This window comes from Homo sapiens, chromosome 6 (genome assembly GCF_000001405.40).
Source record: "Homo sapiens chromosome 6, GRCh38.p14 Primary Assembly".
In the NCBI taxonomy this organism is placed as follows: domain Eukaryota; kingdom Metazoa; phylum Chordata; class Mammalia; order Primates; family Hominidae; genus Homo; species Homo sapiens.
Window position 1 is genome coordinate 12,229,324 of NC_000006.12, and position 11,941 is coordinate 12,241,264.

The following is an 11,941-nucleotide window of genomic DNA, read 5'->3' on the forward strand; positions in this document are numbered from 1 at the left end:
GCAAGTGAGCTTCAAATGCACTTGGTGTGATTTCAAATCCCATATCCTTGTACTACAGAGATAAGAACAAAATGATGAATAATATGTTCTTAAAAAAAACCTGAAACATGAATATAGAAAAGATGTATCATTACATTTACACACACTCACACACACACACTCACACCCACACATCCCCTTTATCTTCCTTTCCACTCACCCATGCACATATACCCTAGTGAAATAAAACCCGACCCACCTTACTTTTCAGGAAACACAGTCTGGAAAATATTTGTCAGGACATGGCCAATGGCTTAGCTGTAATCCCTATATGGGCCTATTCAAACTAGTTAATTCTTTCCTGGGGAAAACCATTCTGTAATTGCAGACCTTGTCTCTTAACTTAGCAGAGCCTCTGACAGGTGGATGCCATTTACAGGGTCCCAGAGCTGTGAAAAGCCAGTCTGACTGTCTGTTTTAGAACTCTTAAGTTCAGGTAAGCAATTTTGTAAATTAATGTCAGTTATCTCTCTTTTTTTTGAAGCTGGTTGGGGTAGAAACTCCATGTTCCAAAATTTTGTCACCCTGACCAATAAAATGCCCCCTGCTTTCAAACACAATCAGACCTGCTTTAGGGGAGGATCGTCTGTGCTTTGTTTGAGCCTTGATTAAAATGGAGATCAGAAAGACTCACAGATGTCTCTTCTCCAAACTCAATAAACCCCAGGTCCTCTTACTTTTCATCTTACATTTTCTCTCTTTATAAAAGTATTCATTTCTCTTCTTTGAATTATCTTCTTTCAAATAATTTCCTTCGTTAGAAAAAATGTAGGTATATGCATTTTGGGAAACAAGAGCTACCAATGGTAATTACAATTGATTTTTATTATTCATGAGATTCCTATTATTATTATTCTCATTGCAGTTATGTTCTACAGGATCACTACGAACACTGAATGAGTGAATACTGAACTACATTGCTCCTAGGAGAAAAATAGGGTTAGGTTCCTGCAAACCTCTGGTCAACTGGCCAATACATAACCTTGTTTTATGTGTATTTCTGTTGAAAAACACCTTATGTAACATATATTATTGATTCATTAACATTGAACTCACATCCAGCGGCCATATAACTCATGCCTGAATGAAGCTTATCTAACGCATGTATTTTCTCTGTAAGGCACATCACAGCCTTCTGGCATTTAGGGACACCAGGCAGCGCTGTGCTCAGGGGCCATTTTGAACAGTGAAACCACCAACAAAAAGCATAAAAATGTGAAGAACGTGGTACAAAATTGATGGCAAAAAGGACACCTGTTTACAGGATAAGGGCTGAAACGAGAAGGCCTAGTGTCACCTTGTTTGACCTCAGGTAGGAACGTGTGGGTTGGTAACTCGAATTTTTCACCACTCTGCATGTCCATGAATCTCTCTGAAAGCCCCATGAATATTGATTTTGAGGTTACAAATAAACTTAAGCAAGCAGGTGAATTGGCAAATACGGAACTTCTGAATAATGAGAATTGACTGTATTTGTTCTTCTCTATTAAGTAACGGGGTCTGTTGCAGATGGAAGAAAGAAAGGGTGAAAGATTTTTGGAGACTCAGGAGACTTTTTTGAAAATGATTTGCCCAAGGCACAGAACCAAAACAGTAGTTCATTGGCCTAAGGTGGAGAAATATAATTCCTTGCATCTCCAGCAATCTGTCTGCAGTTCTCTCCCTGTGAAAAATGACTTGCCATAATATACAAGCCTTGTTACTATGTAAGTGTAATTATATTTTAATAAAAAATAGATTTATAACCAAACAATAAGCCGTGAGATTAACAGCCCAGAACTGGCTGTGAACTTTCAGCCATCTAACCCTGGCACTCCTGCTTCTCCGCAGCACTTACTTTCTGCCAGGAGTGGGTGATTGAACACCACTGACCAGGAAGGGCTCCTGGGAGCCACATTTTTTGCTTGGCATTTTTAATTGTAAAAACCAGTGTTCCACCAACACTGCAATTCAACGAATCAAAAGTCAAATCCATGCTTAACAGGAAAAGATAAAAGCATCAACTTAAAGGAATGAAACAAATTTGAAAAGCAATGGAAAAGGAAACTCATATGGAGTGAAATCCATTCAAGACACGTTTTATTGTTTTTCCCATATGCATTTGCTGCCCAGCTTTGACTATTAAACATTATTTTTTTCTTCTACTAAAACTAAATAGTAATTTGACTTCTAGATTCTTCCAGGGTCGTGCTCTGAACAGAAGCAAAATGGAAATATTTCAGTAGCTTTTTAGACAACTATTTCAAAAGCAAACACATGGTTGTCTGCAGAGTTGTAGGTTAAAGCTATAAATTTATTTTATTAAACAGAGAGGAATTGGTGAAACTGAAAGACACTATAACCCTGACATTTTCATGAAATAATATTCTTGTCTGATTTTTTTTTTAGTTTTTACTCAGATATCACTCAAGTTACACATAAATGGTAATTTTTCTTTATAATAAGCTTCCATCTCTTGTATAAATTTAATGTGTTCAGTGATGACTGTGGATAAAGTCACCTAACGGTGATTTTCTAAGGGAGGTAAACTTTATTGTCATAATTTCCTGGTTATTACCTAGTAAAACAAGTTTTTAAAAAACCAAAAAACAATAGACTTAAAACCATAAAGACTTTTTTAGCATTCAGATTAAATAAAAGAAAGGGTAAAATGTTGACATTTTCCTAAGAGATACCAGTTCTTCACATTTTTATATAATCTCTTAATATGAAGCATATAATGTGTATATTATAATTATATATTTTATATTTTATTATATAAAATTATAATATAATATAATAAAGTGTTTATATTTATAATATAATATAATAAAGTGTATATTATATTATATTTATAATATAATATAATAAAGTATATGTTATAATTTTATATAATAAAATATAAAACATATAATTATAATATACACTTTATATGGTAACACGATCATAGTCTCTACCAATACATATATCTGATTAGATCACCATATGGGAAGTCTGTTCATATTTTTAGTTATTGGGTTTTTTTTTCACCAAGCAATAAAATGTCCAGTATCAAATAAATAAGGGTCATATGATTCCCAGATGACATGACCAGGGTACTCATAAAATTCAGAGAAGCTGAGTCAGATCATTTCAAGAGGACAAATGCAGCGCTCCCCCAAATTCAGTAACTTGTGGAATGTAGCAATCTTGTATTTTCTCTGAGCCAAGCAGCCTGATGCTGTCAAACTCATCTTTCATTTCCTCTGCCTTACCGCAGTGTTAGTGGTTTCGTTATTAGAAGGAAAAAAATGCATAAATGTCTTAGTTAAGATGAAATTGCATCTATTAAAATAAAGTTGATCCTAAATGATTCTTTCACTCAAAGTATTAATAGACTAAAGGAAAATGTTGCAAACTATGAATTAGTGGTATAGTTTATGAACGGTAGCTGTTGTGATTCATGCATATACCTTTTGGTTACCTTATAATGAAAGGTTGTTGGGTACAGCCTTCACATCAATGAGAAAATCAACAAAATGTTCTTGAAAAGACGACTGGCAAACTTTCTTTTATTTTTCTGTTCTCATTAGTAGAAAGAGGGACAGGTCACTTTCAGAAGGATTAAAAGGTCAAAAAATTTGGTGAAGGGATGTCTACACAAGCCTTTAGAAAGCTGTTATCAGAGGATCAGCTAGAAAACAATCTTAGAGCTAATCCTTTGGCTGGATCCAAAGAAAACCCAGCAGATTTAAGTTTTCTCTTTTTTCTCTTTGTTTTCCTTTACAGGGGTATTTCCCACAAAAGCCTTTCAGTTGCCTTCATCCAAAGTTATAGGTCCTGAGTCCTTTTCAGCTCTTTTATTCTGTCTCCAAGCCTAGCCCTTCCTAGCTCTGTCCTCCTACCTTTTCCTGATCTTTTCCATTTTGCTTGTTTTCATCAGGGGTTCCCCCTAAATCCCTCTTAGCATCCCCTAAAGCCTAAATGTTCATGGATGGAGAACTTCTTCTGAGGGAAAAACAAGACTGATTCACAGAATTCTAGCATTAAAGAGGACTGTAGAAATTATCTAGTCTACCCGCCTTCTTCCTCCACCATTTTACAGGTAAACAGAATTCACGAAATTGCCCAAGGTCATGTCCAGGTAGCGACTGCACCAGGACCAAAGCTCTGTCAATAATAACTGCAAATTGGTTGCAAAGTCCTTTGGACAATTCAAGCTGCTCTACCTACCTAAGGCACTATGATTATTATTATTATAATACAGATGTTATTATACAGAGCCGACCGCATGGGCAAGATTGCTGCTGATGATGTGTGTGATGCCAACTCACCAAGACCCAGTGGCATCACGCTGGCATGTTGAAAATAAAAAGGGGTGACATCTGCTTTACATACAGAGCCTCATGACCTGTACTCATAGCTGGAGGCATCAGTCATTGCACTACGAGAGGAAGTGGGCTTTGAAATACCTTGGGGTTGATGTCCCAAGAACACCCTTCTTCCGCTCCTCCTCCCTGTACTCCTTGAACTGCTGCTCATGGGAGCCTGAGTAATACAGAAATTGGAGGACAACCACACAGCACAAGTGTAGGTTTGACAGGAGTTTACATAATGCTGTAGGAAAAGAAACCAAATAAAGGCTTCAGCTTTGCTGAGGCTCTCCCCATCCCCCTCACATGCCAAATGCTCCTTGTGTGGCTCACACTCCTTGGTCTTCAGTCAGAGAGGCCAGGAGCCCACCTATACATCTGTATCAGGGTTAGGAAGTTGGCTCTTGTTAACAATGTTGAATGCACTTTGCTATTCACTACTTTTGTGGTTAGAAAAGCCTCCTGATATCAAACTTTAGAATCAAGCACCACCTTGTGGTCTGATGCATTTATTAAACTGGCACAATTTGAGAGCTGAAACTGGAAATGCTCCCTCAGCTGGTAGTAGAGAGCCAGGATCTGAAAACTGACTCCCAGGTGGCTGCCTGGAAGCAAGAACCCCCAAGGTGTCTTTCTGCTGCTTCTCTGGGTTCTCAGACCAGTTAACAATGACATCCCCTTTCATGGGGTGAATCCCATGTTCCTGACACTAACACATTATGCTAGATATGTATAGTAAGTAGCCAACTTAATCCTTTCAAAACCACAGGGAAGTGTTTCTTATTACTTCAACTTTTAAGTGAGGAAACGGAGGCGGAGGTCACTTAGTGGTCCAGTCACAGACAAATGGCTGGGCTTGGATTGACTTGGAAGTCAAGTCTTTCTGAAGCAAAAGTCTCTGCTGTTAAACACTGCTCTGCTGACCTCTAAGGCCAAGACCAAGACCAGGGTCCACTTCAGGCTCTTTTGGGGCATTTTGGCTCTTGGCTGCAAACCCAACCAGAACTGCCAGAATCCTACCTGGAACTCACTCAAGGTGCTAGAATTAACCTGTTCTCCAAGGTTACATTGATCAGGAAGGTTTGCATTCAGAGATGGGGACTTCATTGGTGTCCATGGACCTACTGAGATAGCCAGAGTTTAGGAGAAAGTTTGGCTTTTGAGGATGGGCCAGACAGCAAGTGACCAGACTCTAGATCATTCATGAAGAAACAAAACCAGAAAGAGATATTTGACAAACATTCACTTGGACAATTACAGTGCTTCCTGAACTGAAATTCAGTTATTCTTTAAAAGGATGATTTTATCATATTCATTGTTTGAAGGGGAGGATTGGAGTATCTGCTTGGCAAGTGAGTAGTAGTAATGTGGGCCAAGTCATGTTAGAAGGGAGATCTCGCCCCTGGTCTTGTTCCAGTGATACCATAAGTGTTCTTGGGTAAGTCACTTCTTTGTCTCTGGGTCTCCATTTTCTCATTCGTAGAATAGGGGTTGGACTTCACTAAGAGGTAGATGGTTCTAAAGTACAGCGCAATTGTATGGAAAATGTGAGGCAGGAACCTCAGCTTTCTCCGTTTCCTTAGAAAGTCTGTCCTGCTCAGGCTTCCTTCCTATTCTCCACTGAATCTGCTGCTAATTTTGGTAACATGGTGACTTCCACATAGCAATGTTTACTAACATGTCTAAGGACAATGATTATCGGGAATATATGCTTCTCTGTTTTTCCAAAGTAGATAAATCCATATAGTTCATAACTCCCTGACTCTCCATACACCAAAAAGAAATACAAAAAGTACCATGAAAAGAGGAAGCACTGCCATGAACGGTCTCCCCTTGAATGGCTAGTATGTAATGCCAAGACAGTGCCTGTTCATTTCAAAGCCTCTCCCATTCTAGTTCCTTCCTGTGCTCTCACTCCGAATTTCTTACTTGAGATCGCTATTGGTTGAGCCATTCTTTTAACAGATAATCTGTACTACAGTAGACTCTAAAACAGAGCTGTCCAACAGAACTTTCCGCAATGTAGAAAATGTTACTTGTGCTCTGCAGTGGCCATAGGTGACTATTGAGCATTTGAAATGTGGCCAGTAAGACTGGACCAAGTGTTTACTTTTATTTAATTTTCATTAATTTAAATTTAAATAGCCACAAGTGACTGGTGTCTACCATATTGGACAGTGCAGCTCTGCAATATTGCCATCACATAGGCCTTTGTTGCAGACATTCTGATTTCTCTGAGACACAAAGCGTACATCATAACAGGGCTATCCTGAATACTGGCTTTACAAGCAGACTTTCAAAAGATTGTTTCTCCATGTTTTTCTTGTATACAAGATTTCATAACAATAATGGTATGTCAGTCTTTTTAAACTGTATTCTGTTTGAGATAACTGAATTGTTTCTTGACTTATTTCAACTGAATAGTTGAAAAGGAATCCCTATTTGATTCCATGGGAATAAAACTGATTCCTTGGTTGCGAATAAAAAGAAAAGTATTATCTCACTTTGTAGGTTTTTCCATTCAATAATAGAATAAATTTGAATGTACATTTTCTAATGGCTTCCAGTGAATGAGTAATTTTGATGCCAAACAATTTTTTTTTTTTTAGAAGGCATCTCGTTCTGTCACCCAGGCTGGAGTGCAACCTCCATCTCTCAGGTTCCAGTGATTCTCCTGCCTCAGCCTTCCCAGTAGCTGGGACTACAGGCGTGTGCCACCACACTAGGCTATTTTTTTTGTATTTTTAGTAGAGATGGGGTTTTGCCACGTTGGCTGGGCTGGTCTCAAACTCCTGACCTCAGGTGATCCACCTACCTTGGCTTCCCAAAGTGCAGGGATTACAGGCGTGAGCCACCGTGCCTGGCCCTGATGCCAAACAATTAATAATAAAAGTAGATTTTCACTTTAAAAAGGGAGCTTTATATATAAATTCATTTTTCCTAAAATATTTGATATGGAAGATGAAATTAGGAAAAAAACTGGTAAAATTCTAAGTGCTTTATTATAAATCTCTTATCCTGAGTAAGCTCAAGTGACAGTCCAAGTATGTTTCTAATTAATTAGGCCAATATTTCTTTTTTTTTTTTTGTTAGGAAACTTTTACTTCTTAACTTCTATCAAGTATATTTCTTTTTTTTAATTATTATTATTCTTTAGGTTCTAGGGTACATGTGCACAACGTGCAGGTTTGTTACATATGTATACATGTGCCATGTTGGTGTGCTGCACCCATTAACTCATCATTTACATTAGGTATTTCTCCTAATGCTATCCCTTCCCCCTCCCCCCACCCCACATCAGGTACCGGTGTGTGATGTTCCCCACCCTGTGTCCAAGTGTTCTCATTGTTCAATTCCCTCCTATAAGTGAGAACATGCGGTGGTGTTTGGTTTTCTGTCCTTGCTATAGTTTGCTCAGAATGATGGTTTCCAGCTTCATCCATGTCCCTACAAAGGACATGAACTCATCCTTTTTATGGCTGCATAGTATTCCATGGTGTATATGTGCCATATTTTCTTAATCCAGACTATCATTGATGGACATTGGGGTTGGTTCCAAGTCTTTGCTATTGTGAATAATGTAATTAGGCCAGTATTTCTTAACTGGAACAAAGATTGAGTAACATTATCCACGCTTATCTCAAAATAAAACCTTTTAACCTCAAAGAATATAAAGAGGTTTTCAGGTCGGAGATAGTCCTGAGAAAGTGATACCTAGGCTGGAAGAGAAGACCAAAAAGTCTTACAAAATTGTAAACTTACAATTTTTTTATAAATGTGGTAAATTTTGATAAATGCTTGCATGAGAAAACATATTGCTGTGTTTTAGAATTTGTGAGGGACATCAGTAAGCAAGAGATTCTGACTTTGCTCTGGAATGAGAGAGTGGAACTCCTAGTGTCTTTCCTCATAATCTGCTGAACGACTGAGGTTTTCATCCTAGGACCATATGATGACCTGCTACTCCGGGGCTGCCTGTGCTTTATAATGATGCTATACAGACACTGTTGTCCTATGGGATCCGAGCTCCAGTTGAAGAATGTTTCATATACTTCTATTCTTGGTGCAGAGAATTGTCTCTACTATAGAAAGTGACTTAACACTCCCAAACTGCATCGTCTGAGAATGGGCATTTCTCATGTACTCAAAGGTTAATACATGGAAATCAATCTCAGGCCTTAAAAAAGGAAAACCCAGCGGGCGCGGTGGCTCACGCCTGTAATCCCACCACTTTGGGAGGCCGAGGTGGGAGGATCACTTGAGGTCAGGAGTTCAAGACCAACCTGGCCAATATGGTGAAACCCTGTCTCTACTAAAAACACAAAAAATATTTGTCAGGCCTGTGGCAGGCATCTGTCATCCCAGCTACTCGGGAGGCTGAGGCAAGAGAATCACTTGAACCCGGGAGGCAGAAGTTGCAGTGAGTTGAGATGGCGCCACTGCACTCCAGCCTGGGTGACAGGGCAAGACTCTATCTCAAAAAAAAAAAAAAAAAAAGGGAAACCCAAAATGCAGCAGAAAACCAATTTAAGTCCGTGCTTCTATTTCTTTGTGATTTGGTTTTCGTGGGAGTTTGGGCTTGAGGGGATGTAGGCGTTCCTCTGGGGTGTGATAGCACATTTGTGCCATGATAAGGCCAGTCCCTGTCCCAGTGGAGTCATTTCTCAAGTCCTGCGTCATGGGGAAAGTGAAGGTCTCCCCTGCCCACTCTACTCCCACTCAAGTGGCTGCAGAAGAGGGGGATATTAGGCACCATAGGACAGGAAGAGCCACAGACTCAGTGACCTCTATGCAATGAGGAGGTTGGTCAGAGCGCATTTGTCAGAGAACCAGCTGTGAAATGTATGGAGGCGGAGGGGAAGCACTTTCCAAGGTTAACCAATCCAACCCTTAGACTGCCAGCTGTCCTCGCTTAGAACCACGGCTGATGCAGCTGTGGTTGAAGCATGGACATCTAGTTATCGTAGGAAGAGAGATGGAGAATTCTTCCCTTGCAGTCAATTTGTAAGCTGATGCAAGAAAACCACCATTGTAGCCACAAAATCAAAATCAAAGAGGAAAGTGAAAGAATAGGACCCAGGCAGGCTGTGCAACCAAGCATTTCCTTTAGCTCCTCTTGACCAAAGGCATCCCAATTTCCCAGTGAAGATGAATTAGAAATTACATGAGAACCATACGGTAGATTATTTCTGGATTGGTGTATAAATATATACAGCACTGACGCCAATTGTTTGAAAAACTGCATGTGTTATATCAGTTGGGTGAGTTTAGCTCTTCTCAATGGATCTTTTAGTTATTGGAATAAAATTCCAACTTATAGCAACTTCTTCAGTATAAATTAGGCAGACTTTCAGCAAGTCCTGTGAATACCCAGTTCCTGGCACACAGTGGGCCTCATTACAAGTTGACTGAAGAACCTCAGTTCTGGGTTCTGTGACAATTCTGGGCCCAGAGTTGTCACAGGGCAAATGAGATAAGCAGCATTGCTTGGAGAATGTTGCCTCAATCATTCGTGTTCCTTTCTGGCTGTGATGTATATTACACTCTCCATAGTAATTGTCTGTCTCCATAAACCCATTTAAAAATACACATGTTAACATAATAGGATTGCTAATTATACTTGGATGTTCTTGTTCCTTTTTCTGACTCTATAATAAAGCCTCAAAATGCTAGCTAGGTCATGGCCACCTAAAAGAAATTACATTTTCTTGACCGCCTTCCAGCAGATACGGCCAAGTGACTACACTTTGGTCAATGGATATAAACAAAAGAAATGTGTAAGGCTCCAGGATCTATCTTTTAGGGGTAGGGGTAGGCCCTTCTCCTGCCTCTTTTCTCATCCCTACCTGCAATAACTTAAATATGATGGCTTAAGCTAGAAGAACCATTTTGGACCATAAAGTAAAAATCCTCTGTTGAAAATAGAGGGAACAGGCCTGGTGCAGTGACTCGCACCTCTAATCCCAGCACTTTGGGAGGCTGAGGCAGGAGAATTGCTTGAGCCCAGGAGTTTGAGATCAGCTTGGGCAACATAGGGAGACCTGGTCTCTACAAAAAATACAAAAATTAGCTGGGCATGGTGGTGTGTGCCTGTGGTCCCAGCTATTCAGGAGGCTAAGGCAGGAGAATCACTTGAGCCCAGAAGGCAGAGGTTGTAGTGATCTGAGATTGCAACATGGCACTTCAGCCTGGGTGTCTCAAAAACAGAAAACAAAAAACAAAAACAGAAAAGGAAAAAGAAAGAAAATAGAATAGCATGATAAAAGGAGTGTAGGTTGAGTGAGAGAGAGGATTTGGTGGAACAGAGGTTATAAAGTAAAATAAAAGCAAAGGTATTATGGATAAAATCCATGTTCAGACATCATCATTCTGATTGCTTATAGGCAGAATTGGTAGAATTCAGGTAGGCCAGATGCCATGAAATTTTGTATTGACAAAGAGACCAGCAGTCTAGACTGCAAAAGCCTTTGACCATTCAATACCTAAGGTGACCACCTTTCCCAGACAGCCAGCAGGAAGGCTGTGAAAGCTGTGAAGGCTTTAAGAAAGGCGCGCACTTGGGAGTATTATGAGCTGGGAAACATTTCCTAAAGGGAGAGAAAACCCACAGGCGGCAGTGAATGAAGAAGTTTTGCCCAGTGAGCAGGTGAGAGTCCAGCTGACTCTCATGATTTTGTTTTCTCTTTCTGCCCAGTGGGATCTGATAATATTTAGAGATAAGGAACTATTATGTGATTCTCAGTTTTTAATTTTTCTGAGTGGGAGAAATGTTTGTTTATATAAAGTTTGTCCTGTTCTTATTGGACTTGTAGGTGTGTTGTATTAGGTAACTTACATTTCTATTTTGTAGGGCCCCTGAAAATGAGTAGTTACACTCAGACCTGATAAAGAGCATGGAATAGTACCTGAAAATCCTGGACTTAGAACCAGATGCATGAATTTGGTGGAACTCTGGGATTCTTTATCTGGGAGTACAGGGGTTGAGTACATTTCAAACATGGAAATAAGGGTACACTGAGATACATGGGTGGCCAAAGGGGAGACATAGCTGTCTTTCAATATCTATTATCCCTTAGGTTCTGTGAACCTGAAAGAACCAAGGACTATAAAGAGCAGTGGTGTACAACTCCCAGGAATTGTCTTTAATGGGAGATCATGTGGCTTTATCTTGTCTCTTTTTTGCATCCTGCTGCCTGGAACACAGATGTGATGGCTGGTGTTGATCCTGCTGTGTGCTGAGGGAGATGGAACATCAAGGTAGAAAGCACTGGACCTTCTAAGCATGGTGGAGCCATTATGCCAGCCCTGGATCATTTACATTCAGATGAGTGTGCAAATTTTTATTCCCTTAAAGCCACTTAGATTTTGAATTTTCAGTCACTCTCAGCTGAACCCAATCCTTACTGCTCTTGGAAGACATTTACACTGTGGGAACCTTAGGATGCACTTTTTTTTCTTTTCTTTCTTTCTTTCTTTTTTTTTTTTTTATTGAGATGGAGTCTCACTCTGTCACTCAGGCTGGAGTACAGTGGTGTGATCTTGGCTCACCGCAACCTCTGCCTCCTGGGTTC

General features: G+C 39.7%; 1 protein-coding gene across 1 annotated transcript in view; it reads left to right on the forward strand.

The window, feature by feature from the left end:
- Nucleotides 1-1,192: 1,192 nt before the first annotated feature.
- The window catches only part of EDN1 (endothelin 1), a 66,679-nt gene continuing 55,930 nt past the window's right edge, over nt 1,193-11,941 (forward strand). The window contains exon 1 of the mRNA NM_001416565.1: nt 1,193-1,351. The gene's annotated coding sequence lies outside the window, so the exon portion shown is untranslated. The remainder of the gene's footprint in view (nt 1,352-11,941) is intronic.